This window comes from Homo sapiens, chromosome 12 (assembly GCF_000001405.40).
Source record: "Homo sapiens chromosome 12, GRCh38.p14 Primary Assembly".
NCBI lineage: Eukaryota > Metazoa > Chordata > Mammalia > Primates > Hominidae > Homo > Homo sapiens.
This window is the reverse complement of record NC_000012.12, coordinates 43,445,437-43,459,596: the sequence shown is the minus strand read 5'-3', so window position 1 is coordinate 43,459,596 and position 14,160 is coordinate 43,445,437. Positions and strand designations below refer to the sequence as shown.

The window sequence follows — 14,160 nt, the reverse complement described above, 5'->3', positions numbered from 1 at the left end:
ACATGAGTTAACAAAACAGACAATATTACCAGGGGGTCCTTGCTCCCAGAGCTCCCAAGATGGTGGCAGGCCACTTCCAAAATGGTGGCAGGCCACTTCCAAGATGGCGGCAAGCCTCGTTTTCTCTGACCTGGGGTTCTTGGCCTCACAGATTCCGAGGAATGGAATCTTGGGCCATGCTGTGAGTGTTATAGCTCTGTTAGAAGCCATGGGTCATGGAAGAGAACCATGGAACCCGGTGACTAGTGTTCAGCCTGATTAGGATGAACCCAGGCACTTAGCCATGCAGGAACAATGGCAAGCCTTTAGCCCTGTGGGGAGCGGCAATGGGCATCTCGCTGGATCAGGAGCACAGCAGACACCCTGTTGGATCCGGAGGGATGGAAGTCAGCAGCAGGTCCGCGATGGCAGCAAACAGCAGTGGTAGGCGGCAAGTGAAAGCTCAGCTCCAGCTGTAACAAACATGGACCAGAAGAGTGCAGCTGCAAGATTTAATAGAGTGAAAACAGAGCTCCCATACAAAGGGAGGGGACCCAAAGAGGGTAGCCATTGCAGGCTCGAATGTCTGGGTTTATATCCGGATCATTGTCCCTCCTGCTGTGCTCTCAGGTGATAGATGATTGGCTATTTCTTTACCTCCTGTTTTTGCCTAATTAGCATTTTAGTGAGCTCTCTTTACTACCTGATTGGTTGGGTGTGAGCTAAGTTGCAAGCCCTGTATTTAAAGGTGGATGCAGTTACCTTCCCAGCTAGGCTTAGGGATTCTTAGTCAGCCTAGGTAATCCAGCTAGTCCTGTCTCTCAACAAGATCTCTGCCCTTATGTAGCTCAAGTTCTAGAGGGAGACTAGAATATTACAAATAATTAATATAATAGTACCATCAAACTGATTGGTGCCACACACCAGAAAAATAGAGCAGGAAGCTGATTAGAAGTTTTATAGTAGGAGAGGGCAGATTGCAATTTAAAATATGATGGTCAGGACAGACATTATATGAAGTTACCAAATTAGCTGTCTTAAAGGAGATGAGAGGGTTAGCTATGAGGATATCTGGGGTAAATGAGTTTCCAACAAAGGGAACAGCTGAGCTCCTAAGTCTGGAGTATGCCTGGAGTATTCAAAGAAGAGCAAGGAGGACATTTTAGCTGGAGTGAAGTGAAGAGAGAAAGAGACTTATAAGAAGTAACTGAAGGAAGATTTCGTAGGGCATTGCAGGTGTGAAAGAAAAATATCTTGGGACCCTTCAACTTGGGAACGTCTCAGGACAAACCTGCTTCCTAGTCTATTCAAGTCATCACTTTGCTCACAGAGATAGATGGATATTCTGATTGCCTCCTTTGGAAATACTTATCAGAAACTCAAAAGAATGCAACCATCTGTCTGTCACCTACCTGTGACCTAGAAGTCCCCATTGGGGGGTGGGGAGGGGCTTGCTTTGAGCTGTCTCCACCTTTCTGGAGAGAACTAATGTACTTCTTATGTATTGACTGATGTCTCATGTCTCCCTAAAATGTATAAAAACAAGCTGTGCCCCCACCACCTTTGGCACATGTCATCAGGACTTCCTGAGGCTATGTCATGGGCATGCCCTCAACCTTGGCAAAATAAACTTTCTAAATTAACTGAGACCTGTCATAAATTTTTGGGGTTCACACAGGCCATTGTGAGAACTGCATATTTACTCAAAGTAAAATAATGAAAGATTTGAATGGATTCATACCTGATTTGACTTAGTTTAAAAAGAGATCATCCTGGCAACTGTGTTAAGGCTAAACTGTCGGGGACAAGAGTGGAAACAGACATCTACTTAGCTATTTCAGTGATAGAAGTAAGGGATGCTAGTGCTCAAACCAGAGTAGTAGTAGTGAGATAATGAAAGGTCAATTTTTGATATATTTTAAAAGGAACTAGAACATTTATTCTAGCTAATGTATCAGATGTGGAGTGTTCAAAGAGGAAGAAGAGAAATGATGACTAGGCTTTTGGCTGAACAACTTAGATCAACTTGGTAAAAGTAGGTTTTGAGTTGGGAAGGCAGGAATTCAGTTTTGGATATGCTATGCTTGAAATGTTTATTAGACATTCTAGTAAATAGTCATAAGTAAGCAGGCATATATATGAGTCTGGAGTTTAGGAGAGAGATCTGGACTAGAAGTAACTCTTAATAGTAAAGAATTAAAAAACCAAGATATGAGCCTGGAGAGACATTCCAACATTAAGTTGTCACAGAGAAGAAGATAATTTAAGAGAGAGATCTGGACTAGAAGTGACTGTTAACAGAAAAGAATAAAAAAACTAGATGTGAGCCTGGAGAAACATTCCAACACTAAGTTGTCACAAAGAAAAAGAAAAAACAACAGAAGAAAATGAGAACAATTAGTTTTGAAGAAAGGAAGAAAACCAAGTGTGTAGAGCCCTGGAAATGAAGAGAAAAAAATTATGTCAAAGAAGAAGCATGATTAATTGTGCACACATTGCTGATAAGTCAAGGAAGACAGAGAATAAGAACTGGCTATTGGTGTCCTACACATTGTTAAATATAGTGAACCCCAGGTTTCTCTTCAAAGAATCAGTATGTCAGTATGTTCAGCTCTCTTATTCTTTGATTCTCCATTTTAAAGTTTAACTTCCTGGTTCTTTTTGCCTCCTTGTCTCTAGTTTCAGTAAACAACTTTCCTGCCATTCCTAATCAGTAATTCATATCTGTTCCCCTGGTTACCTGCTCTGACCTAAGTCATCTTTAGTTACCTGTTCCTACCCATCCTTCCCACCAAACTACTCACCCCGCCACTCTGGCTTGTACTCCTGCTCTTTTTAAAAGAGCCAATCGGAATTAGCTTAGACTATGCAGTCCAACCCTAGCCAGTAGGGAATGACACAGCAGTAGGGTCTATCTGTGTCAGGAGTAAGAACTCCTGCCCCTGCCCTGTCCAGGTGTGCTCTTGCCATTGTTCCATCTGTGAGGAGCACCCTTTTTGCAGAAAGGAAAAATTGCCTTGCTGAGAAACTTAAATTTATGTTCGAGTGCTATTTCTTTGCAGCACCGAGGAACAAGCATTTTGCATTTCTAACAATTTGAGCAGATTCATGGAGGAATAGGATATATTCCTCATGGGGCGGGGTTATGAGAGAATAGACAGGGAGTTAAAGAATGTACATGGCCGACTCTTTCAAGGAGAAGCAGAGCAGTAGCTGGTAAGGGCAGTGAGATCTAAGAAAGGTTTTGTTGTTGCTATTGTTTTCTTAAAGTGAGAGAAATAACAGCTGTGTTTGTATGTTAATGAGAATAATCTAGGCAACTACTTTGTGAATTATCTGTAGTGATAATCTAGGAAACCACTTTGCAAATTATCTGTAGTAAAATATTGTCTTTGTTCTTTTTTAAAATTTCTGATTATTTATAAACTGATACTTTTGTACAAAGTAATAAAAATTATTGACTAGGAAAATGAAATGCAAAAAAGACATCCAAAATATAAGCCATATTTTTCTATGGGAAACAGTGTGGCCATTCCTCACAAAATTATTAATCGAATTATCATATTCTCCAGCTATTCTACTTCTGGATATATACCCAAAGAATTGAAAGCAAGATTTCAAAGATATATTTGTACACTCATACTCATAGCAGCATTTTTCACAATATCTAAAGGTGAAAGCAGGAGTTTGAGACCATCCTGGCCAACATGGTGAAACCCTGTCTCTACTAAAAATACAAAAATTAGCGGGTTGTGGTGGCGTGCGCCTGTAGTCCCAGCTACTCAGGAGGCTGAGGTAGGATAATCACATGAATGTGGGAGGCGGAGGTTGCGGTAAGCTGTGATCACGCCACTGCACTCTAGCCTGGGTGACGGAGCGAGACTCCATCTCAAAAAAAAAAAAAAAGATGAAAGCAACCCAGTGTCCATTGATGGATGAAAGGATAAATAAAGTGTGGTAAATGCGTATGTTATGGTTTGAATGTTTGCCCCCTCCCAAACTCATATTGAAATTTAATTGCCAGTGTAACAGTATTGGGAGATGGGGCCTGTTTGATAAGACTAGGGCATAATGGCTCTTCCCTCACCGGTGGGTTTAATGCCTTATAAAAGGGCCTTCAGGATTGAGCTGTCTCGGTCCTTCTGCATTGTGCTCTGTGAGGATCCAGCATTCTCTCCCTACAGAGGATGCAGTGTGCAAGGTGCTATCTTGGAAGAAGAGAAAGGCCTCATCAGACACCAAACCTGCCGGTACCTTGACCTTAGATTTCCCAGATCTCAGACCTGTGGGAAATGAATTTCTGTTATTTATAAATTATCCAATCTTGGGTATTCTTATATAGCAGCACAAAATGGACTAAGACAACATACAATGGAATATTATTCATTTTTAATAAGAAAATTCTGACACATGGATGAAGCTTGGGCATATTATGCTAAGTGAAATAAGCCAGTCACATGAAGACTAGTACTATATGATTCCAATTGTATGAACTATCTGGAGTAGTCAAATTCATAGAAACAGAAAGTAGAATGGTGGTTACCAGGAGGTAGCAGGGAGGACAAAATGGGAGTTGTCATTTAATGGGTATAGGGCTTCAGTTTTGCAAGATGGAAAAGTTCTGGAGATTGGTTGCACAACAATGAGTATACCTAACACTATTGAACTATATGCTTAAATATGGCTAAGATGGTAAATTTTATGTTATGCATGTTTTGCCACAATTAAAAATAAACATAAGCCAATTTTTAAATTATTTACTTAGACATAAAATTTCTCTGTAAAAATCTTACAAAAATTTCTTAATGCTTACTCTCAAGTTGTGTTATTGTCTCTCAGTCTGGAAACTAATTCATAGACTGGCATGAGTGCATGGTCATACTTTGATTAGCTATCACTGAAATGATGATATAGAAGAGATGAGAGAATTGCTGGAGTGATGTTTGGTGTAGTGAGAAGGGATGGATTAAGTACACAAGCAGGGGGATTGACTTTGTCTGGGATAGTGAATTTTCCATGTGTGCTAACAGGTAGCAAGGCTGAATGTGAGTGCAGATGCTGTTGAATGGGTAGAACAGGTGGTGAGAGACTGTGGGTAGATTCTTCTGTAAGTTTCCATTTTCCTGATGAAAGTAAAGGAACAAGGTTGTCATTTGAGACTTCGGATAGAATAAAGTAGAAAGCTTTTTATAAGAGTGGAAGAGTGTATAGATACTTTGAGTAAAAAAATGGAAGGATGGAAATATACCATATTAACCTGGTATTTGGTTTCTTCTATTCAAAAAATACCCGCCATATTCCATTTTACTATTTAATTTTTCCTTCCTCCCCAATGACACTCTAAATCTTAAAGCCAGAAGAAATATTACACTCCTTTTCTATTCCACAGATCTTAGTAGGTAGGAAATATTCATAAAATCATTTCAAATGTAATCTGAATTAATAACAGCTAGCTTCAAATTGTTTAGTTTGTTCTTCTGTTGATCTTTATGCTGCTATTATAATTTTTGTGATGTTCTAATTAGAGACACACATCATTTCTTTTTGTGCTTATTATTTTTATAGCATTGCCGTCATGGGCTATGTGTAAACAAAGAAACGGAAACACGTCCTGTAAATGGTGAATGGGGACCATGGGAACCTTACAGTTCTTGTTCAAGAACATGTGGAGGCGGAATCGAAAGTGCAACCAGGCGCTGTAATCGTCCTGAGTATGTCTTTTTTATGTCACTATAAATTAAGATTATCTCAAGGCACCAGAAAGTAAACATCAGTTTCACTCACTTCTAAAACTGGAGGTCAGTCCGTAAGTTTCTGAGATTCAGAAAATTTCTGGAGCACTTTAAGTCACATTGATTTATATTTTGGTAGATTCAGACATTTAAAAAAAAAAACATAAATAGATTAAATTTTATAATCTGAACTGAGATCCATTTTCTTCATTTTTTTGTTTTTTAATTTAGTATAAATTTTGAGATATAAATATGAATCACAGTTATATAATGTCATTTTCACATTTACTGTATGCCTAATGAAACATCCTGGCTACTTTCACTTATGTTTCGGATCTTCTGGATAACATATATAGTTTGGTTACCAATTTTTTACCGTTTTGTGCATTGTGACATGTGATACTTTATTTTCTCTGCTTCTTGTGTTATAGACGCATCATTGTCTTTAGCTGAATAAGTACTAAAGCATATCTCCCCCTCATCAAACTATTTAAAAGGGCTTAGATATTGCATTAAGATTTTAAATTAATGTTTTTGTTGTATATATGATATATAAGTTGGTAAGCAATATGATACTCTTTACTTAAAGTATTATTAATAAGCATTTTTAATGCAGAAATGTGACTTACTCTGAATAAAATCTTGGCTCATTTAAATTTTAGGATAAATTATACTAGAAGTCTTTATATTCCAAAAATTCTGCAAAAAATTTTATTTTCCAGCATAAGTCAAAATAACATGGATATAGATTGATACCATAAAACTCCTTGAATTGAGTGATAAATAAGATATACATGACAGATGTGTATACATTTCCTTTTTATTTAACATGGCACCTGCCTTTGTTATTGTCTTTGGCTCACCACATGTCTTTTCTTCTTTCCAGAAAGTGAGCAAACCCTTTTTTGGAAGTTTAAGAAAAAACTTCCATTGTTGGTTTCTTGCTAGTTAACCTAGTCAAGAATAAGGTATCGTTTCTGCCCTCTAGGCTCACTGTCCACGTTAAGGTGGATATTTTTGTGGTTCATTATGCATAGAATTGCGTAAAACTCATGTTACATACTTCTGTTAAAAAGTGTTAGTGGGACTTCACTGGTTTTCTAGATCCTGGAAAAGAATGGAACTTTTAGAAGTAAGTGGCACAAATAATGTTGTACTGATGTGCTTTAAAATGTAATGAATTTGACTAGGCCAAGAAACGGAGGAAATTACTGTGTGGGCCGCAGGATGAAATTTCGATCATGTAATACTGATTCATGTCCAAAAGGCACACAAGACTTTCGAGAGAAGCAGTGCTCTGATTTTAATGGTAAACATTTGGACATCAGTGGCATTCCCTCTAATGTGAGGTGGCTTCCAAGATACAGTGGCAGTAAGTAAATTATGCTGGTTCTTTGATGTAAATTTTTCTGAGACGTAAGAACACATAGCTTTATTATTATACATTAAAAATTTGACCTTTTTCTTTTTTACAGTTGGCACAAAGGATCGTTGTAAACTCTATTGTCAGGTTGCTGGAACCAATTATTTCTACCTATTGAAGGATATGGTTGAAGATGGTACTCCTTGTGGAACTGAAACTCATGACATCTGTGTTCAAGGCCAGTGTATGGTAAGTAAACTATAAGTTTCTATTAGATTTAAAGTGACTTTAAGAATAATGTTTTTTTTCGATTTATATAACCAAATATTACTTTTACTATTTCAGCATATGTTCTTATGCATTCCAACAAAGCAACCTTTGTTATCATGCTATCTATAGAAGTATGGTTAGCCTGGTTACTGGGAATTCTCTGTCATCAAGAATGCCTCAACAAAGCATTAAGATAAATTTGATGACTTTCTGTGGTCTATTGTACTCATAATCAAAATAGGAATGAGGTCAGCTTCCTAAAAAGATAGAAAATAATAAGATAAAAGGATTGTAAGGAGATTTTGCTACTTTAAGTGTAAGCTTCTACAGTAATGTTTTCCTTGTCCGTTGAAACCATTGATATTCTCCCTTCCTCTTTCCAGCTCTCTGTCACTTATTTTTTATGTACATTCAACAAACATTGATTGAGTAGCTACTAGATGTCAGATACTGTTCAAGTCACCAGGATAAAAGACTGGAGCAGAGAACCCCACTTCCAAGATGGTCACAGATTTGTGGGGGAAATAGGCATGTAAACAATTAGAATGCACTGCTATGGGTCATCTGCAAGGTAGCATGGAGATATTGAAAGGAGTTTCTTATTTTATGGGGAGGTGGGTAAAGGATTCAGAGAACCTTTTATGGAGCGCATAAGACTTGTGCTAAGTATTGAAATGAGTAGGTTTTAGGAAGATGAGGAAGTATGGGAGCAGAGTTGGAGTTAGGGACTAGCAGATGGTTGTCAAATGCACTTTTTTTTTTTCTTAACTCCTTGGAAACACATAGAAGCATTTGAAGTCAAGGGAGAGATGTGATTCGATTTGCATATTGGAATCTTCAAAATACTGGGTTTAGAAGATTGGAGGCAGGTGGTCCATTTAACAGGGTTGTAGGTCAGAGCAGATGAGATGCTGAGTTAAAGCACAAACATTGCAATGGCAGTCTTGAGAATGGATGGCGAGTTTGAGAACTAAGATAGTGAATGTGGTCTAAAGAATATAGTAAGTGTACTTCTATGAGATCAACTTTTTTAGATTCCACATATGAATGGGATCATATAGTATTTGATTTTTGGTGTCTGGCTTATTTCATTTAACCCAGTGTCCTCCAGGTTCATCCATGTTGTCACAAATGGCAAGGTTTCCTCTTCTTTATGGCTGAATAATATACCATTTTGTATATAAACCAGATTGTTTAAATCCATGCATCCACTGATGGACACTTAGTTTGATTTCATATTTTGGCTATTGTGAATAGAGCTGTGATAAACATGGGAGTGTAGATATCTCTTTGATATACTAAATTCATTTCCTTTGGAAGTAGTGAGGTTGCTGGATCATATGGTAGTTCTATTTTTAGTGGATGTTATGTGCTGTCACCACAAAAATGATAACTATGTGAGGTTATGCATTTGTTAATTAGCTAGATTTAACCATTCCTTAATGTATTGATATTCTTCAAAACATTATGTTGTACATGATAAAAACATACAATGTTATCTGTCAGTTTGAAAATAAAAGATAAAAAATAATTAAAAATATAAGTATAAGTTATGAACTTATTCCTTCAGTTAAAGTGGAGCTCTATAGGGCCAACTTCATCTCCCCATGAACAAATACCTTTTACCTTATCTCAGTGATAAAGGCTGTTCACCCAAAGAGCTAATGAGATGTTCAAAGAGAATTAAAATAATTTAAGTCGGAAACAGTTTAAATACTGAAAAGGTTATTCAGTGGCCTGAAAAAAGTTGTGCTTTAAATTAGCAGCATAAAGTCATATGACAATGCAAAAGTTATGATGAAGATTATCTGAACATATAGAGGCATGCTACTTTCAGAAAATATATGCTTAACATTTTGATTTTGAAAATATCTGCCTTGTGTATAAAAAAATTCACTAGGCTTAAGAAATTTTCTTTGCTGATCACTAAATTTAGAAGGCCATTCCAAACAATGGAAAGAGTTATTGCAATGTATGCAGAGGACAGCTTCTTCATGGAGAGGAGCTGCATTTGTTTTTTTGAAATTTCTGGAACAAGCCATCTACTTGTATATTCATTCATTTATTCATTCATTTTTAAAAATAAGCACTGTTATGCTGGGTATTAGTTTTAGAGAAAACTTTACTTTTAAATACTTATTTGAAGCTAAGACTATTTGCAGAGTTCTAAGGTCATGAGTTAAAATAATAACCATGGAAGTCATCTTTTTGGAGTATTCTAATGTGTTACTTACATACTCATACTTTAGTCTCTTTGAATTACATTTCTTTTAAGAGTGGTTTTCAAATGACAGTGGGTATTGGAATCAATGTCAGTGTTACAATGCAGATTCCTAGGTTTTATTTCCAAGTATTATAATTCAGAAGATCTGGGATACTGTCTTTTTAAATACCACCCCATGTGATGTTGATGCAGGAGGTCTGTGGATGACCCTTTAATAAACTTGGCTTTTTAAATGAATATGTGAAAATGTTACATACAACTAGATGAGTATATATTTTGAAACAATTCTGTTGTACTGAATCTCCTGTTAATTGAAAGGATATTTGTGAAAAGAACTTTGTAAACTTTAAAGCACCATGCTTATAGTTGGTCATTCTTTTTTTTTAACTTTTATTTTAGGTTCAGGGGTATATATGCAAGTTTTTTATACAGGTAAACTCGTGTAACAGGGTTTTGTTGTACAGATTATTTCATCATCCAGATACTAAGCCTAGTATCCAATAGTTACTTTTTCTGATCCTCTCGCGCCTCCTACCCTCCACCCTCAGCAGGCCCCAGTGTGTGTTGTTCCCCTCTTTGTGCCCATATGTTCTCATCATTTAGCTCACACTTACAAGTGAGAACGTGTAATATTTGGCTTTCTGTTCCTGTGTTGGTTTGCTAAGGATGATGACCTCCAGCTCCATCCATGTTCCTGTAAAAGACGTCATTTTATTCTTTTCTATGGCTGCATAGTATTCCTTTGTGTATATGTATCACATTTTCTTTATCCAGTCTACCATTAATGGACACTTAGGTTCATTTCATGTCTTTGCTATTGTAAATAGTGCTGCAATGAACATACACCTGCATGTGTCTTTATGGTAGAACAACTTATATTCCTTTGGGTATATATCCAGTAATGGGATTGCTGAGTTGAATGGTAGTTCAGTTTTTAGCTCTTTAGGGAATCGCCACACTGCTTTCCACAGTGGTTGAACCAATTTACACTCCCACCAACGGTGTATAACCGTTCTCTTTTCTGCAATCTTTCCAGCATCTTTTATTTTTTGACTTTTTAATAATAGTCATTCTGACTGGTGTGAGATGCTATCTTATTTTGGTTTTGATTTGCATTTCTCTAATGATCAGTGATATTGCGCTTTTTTTGTAGGCTTGTTGGCTGCATGTATGTCTTCTCTTAAAAGGTGTTTGTTCATGTTCTTTGCTCACTTTTTAATGGGATTGTTTTTTTTTCTTGTAAATTTATTTAAGTTCCTTATAGATGCTGGATAATAGACCTTTGTCAGATGTATAGTTTGCAGATATTTTCCCCCATTCTGTAGATTGTCTATTTACTCTGTTGATAATTTCTTTTGCTGTTCAGAAGCTCTTAAATTTAGCTAGATCTCATTTTCCAGTTTTTGCTGTTGCAATTGCTTTCGGTGTCTTCATCATGAAATCTTTGCCAGTTCTTGTGTCCAGAATGGTATGGCCTAGGTTGTCTTCCAGGGTTTTTATAGTTTGGGGTTTTACATTGAAGTCTTTAATCCATCATGAGTTGATTTTTTTATAAGATGTAAGGAAGGGTTCCGGTTTCAGTCTTCTGCATATGGTTAGCCATTTATCCCAGCACCATTTATTGAATAGGGAGTCCTTTTTCCATTGCTTGTTTTGATCAGCTTTGTTTAAGATCAGATGGTTGTAGCTGTATGGACTTATTTCTGGTCTTTCTATTCTGTTCCATTGGTCTGTGTGTCTGTTTTTGTACCAGTTCCATGCTGTTTTGGTTACTGTAGCCCTGTAGTATAGTTTGAAGTTGGGTAGCATGACACCTTCAGCTTTGTTCTTTTTGGTTAGGATTTCTTTGGCTATTCAGGCTCTTTTTTTGGTTCCATGTGAATTTTAAAATAGTTTTCTCTAGTTCTATAAAGAATATTAATGGTAGTTTTATAGAAATGGCATTGGATGTGTACATTGCTTTGGGAAATATGGCCATTTTAATGATATTGATTCTTCCTATCCATAAGCATAGAGTATTTTTCATTTGTTTGTGTCATCTCTATTGCTTTGAGCAGTGTTTTATAATTCTCATTGTAGAGATCTTTCACCTCCCTGGTTGGCTGTATTCCTAGGTATCTTATTCGTTTGGTGGCCATTGTGAAGGGGATTGTGTTCCTTATTTGGGTCTCAAGTTTGTTAATATTGGTGTGTAGGAATGGTAGTAAGTTTTGTACATTGATTTTGTATCTTGCAAATTTGCTGAAGTTGTTTGTCAGGTTAAGGAGCTTTTGGGCCGAGACTATGGAGTTTTCTAGATATATAATCATGTCATCAGCCAGCAGGGATTGTTTGACTTCCTCTTTTTCTATTTGGATGCCCTTTCTTTTTTTCTTTTTCCTGATTGTTCTGGCCAGGACTTTCAGTACTATGTTAAATAGGAGTGGTGAGAGGGCATCCTTGTCTTCTGCCAGTTTTCAAGGGAAATTCTTCCTGCTTTTCCCCATTCAGTATAATAGCTGTTGTGGGTTTGTCATAGATCGCTCTGATTATTTTGAGGTATGTTCCTTCAATGCCTAGTTTATGAAGAGCTCTTAACATGAAGGAGTGTTGAATTTTATTGAAAGCATTTTCTGCATCTATTGAGATAATCATGTGATTTTTGTATTTTGTTCTGTTTATGTGATGAATTGCATTTGTTGATTTGCATATGTTGAACCAAATTTGCACCCCGGGGATGAAGTCTACTTGATTGCGGTGGATAAGCTTTTTGATTTGCTGCTGGATTTGGTTTGCAAGTATTTTGTTGAGGATTTTTGTATCAGTATTCATCAAGGATATTGGCCTAAAATTTTCTTTTTTTTTTGTCGTGTCTCTGCCAGGTTTTGGTATCAGGATGATGCTGACCTCATAGAAGGAGTTAGGGAGGAGTCCCTCCTCCTCAATTTTTTAAATAGTTTCAGTAGGAATGGTACCAGCTCTTATTTGTACATCTAGTAGAATTCAGCTGGGAATCGTGTGATCCTGGGCTTTTTTTGGATGGTAGCCTACTTATTACTGATTCCATTTCAGAGCTCATTATTGGTCTGTCCAGGGATTCTCTTTCTTCCACCTTCAGTCTTGGGAGGGTGTTTGTGTCCAGGAGTTTATCCATTTCTTCTAGGTTTTCTAGTTCATGTGCATAGAGGTGTTCATAGTAGCCTCTGAGAGTTATCTATATTTCTGTGGGGTCAGTGGTAAATCCCCTTTGTCATATCTGATTGTATGTATTTGGATCTTCTCTCTTTTCTTCATAATTAGTCATTCTTATAATATTGATTGTAATTGTGTCTTGAAGGCAGCTGGTTGTGATCACGTGTTAAACTCCAGTGCCAAGATAGACAAATGTGGAGTGTGTGGTGGGGACAACTCTTCATGCAAGACAATAACAGGTGTCTTCAACAGTTCTCATTATGGTAAGTTGTGTATTTGTTTCTAGATTTCGCTTTTATTTAGTATAATAATGGAGTCTGTAAAGAAGGTGTAACAGTAATTCTTTGTTACTGTTTTGTCTACTCTATACCCTTAGTCCAAAATGATTGTTAAGGAAAAATTTCCTAAATATAAAAAAATTAAATACTGTATTAGACCAGATGTATCCTTGATTAATGAATTCACCTGCCCCAGGCAAATCTGATTCTTAAAAATGTATTAGGTGCATTTCTTAGAGTAAATTCAGTGCTATTTGACTGTGATGTGTGATATGTGAATAATCCTCCCATTAATGAAATGGTTTTTTCCCTATAACCTAAAATGTATATATTTGTGATTTTTCCCAGGAAACTTGCTTTCAAATATTTTCATTACTTGAATCACTTTCTTTTTTTGGTATGACTTGACCTATCTGTTACATTTCTTATTAATAGTACATAGAAAATGTTGATTGAAGGTGAAGGGTGAAACCATTATCTTATATATTTTCTGAATTAAATGTTTCAGAATTATTGTCACATTTGATTTTCCAGGCAGTATCTGGATCACATATTGGCCATAATTTAATTTTTCTCCAAAATATCATGAGACTATGTAAAGTATTTTCCATTGTAATGTTTTCTGGGCAATTTTTTTTTGTTTTTATGATAATTAAAGCAGATCTTTAAAACTTTCTTTGCAAATTAAATTTATTTCTTACAACCTTATTTATTCATTTATTTATTTAGAGACAGGGTGCTACTCTGTTGCCCAGGCTGTAGTACAGTGGCACAATCATAGCTCATTGCAGCTGTGAACTCTTGAGCTCCAGCAATCTTTCCACCTCCTCATCCCCAGTACCTAGAACTACAGGTGTTCACCACCATGCCCATCTAATTTGTGTGTGTGTGTGTGTGTGTGTAGAGATGGGTCTCAATGTATTGCTAGGTTGGTCTCAAACTCCTAGCCTCAAGGGATCCTTCCATCTCGGCCTCCCAAAGTCCTGAAATTACAAGCATGAACCACCACACCTAGCCTATTTTTTACAGTCTGACTGTTCAGCTTTAAATTGTGTTCATGTGTGTTCAAATTGTTACTTACTTCCATTAAAACAGTATAATTTAAAACTTAATATTTATGTTTTTATGTATGTGAAAAACATA

At 36.6% G+C, this 14,160-nt stretch overlaps 1 protein-coding gene across 3 annotated transcripts in view; it reads left to right on the top strand.

Annotated features, from left to right (window-relative positions):
• ADAMTS20 (ADAM metallopeptidase with thrombospondin type 1 motif 20) overlaps positions 1-14,160 on the top strand; it is a 199,441-nt gene that overhangs the window by 92,607 nt on the left and 92,674 nt on the right. For all 3 annotated transcript variants that reach the window (XM_011538754.3, XM_017019979.2, NM_025003.5), the window contains 4 exons: positions 5,545-5,690; positions 6,902-7,083; positions 7,187-7,323; positions 12,885-13,002. In XM_011538754.3, coding sequence (XP_011537056.1) covers positions 5,545-5,690; positions 6,902-7,083; positions 7,187-7,323; positions 12,885-13,002 — 583 coding nt within the window. The remainder of the gene's footprint in view (positions 1-5,544; positions 5,691-6,901; positions 7,084-7,186; positions 7,324-12,884; positions 13,003-14,160) is intronic.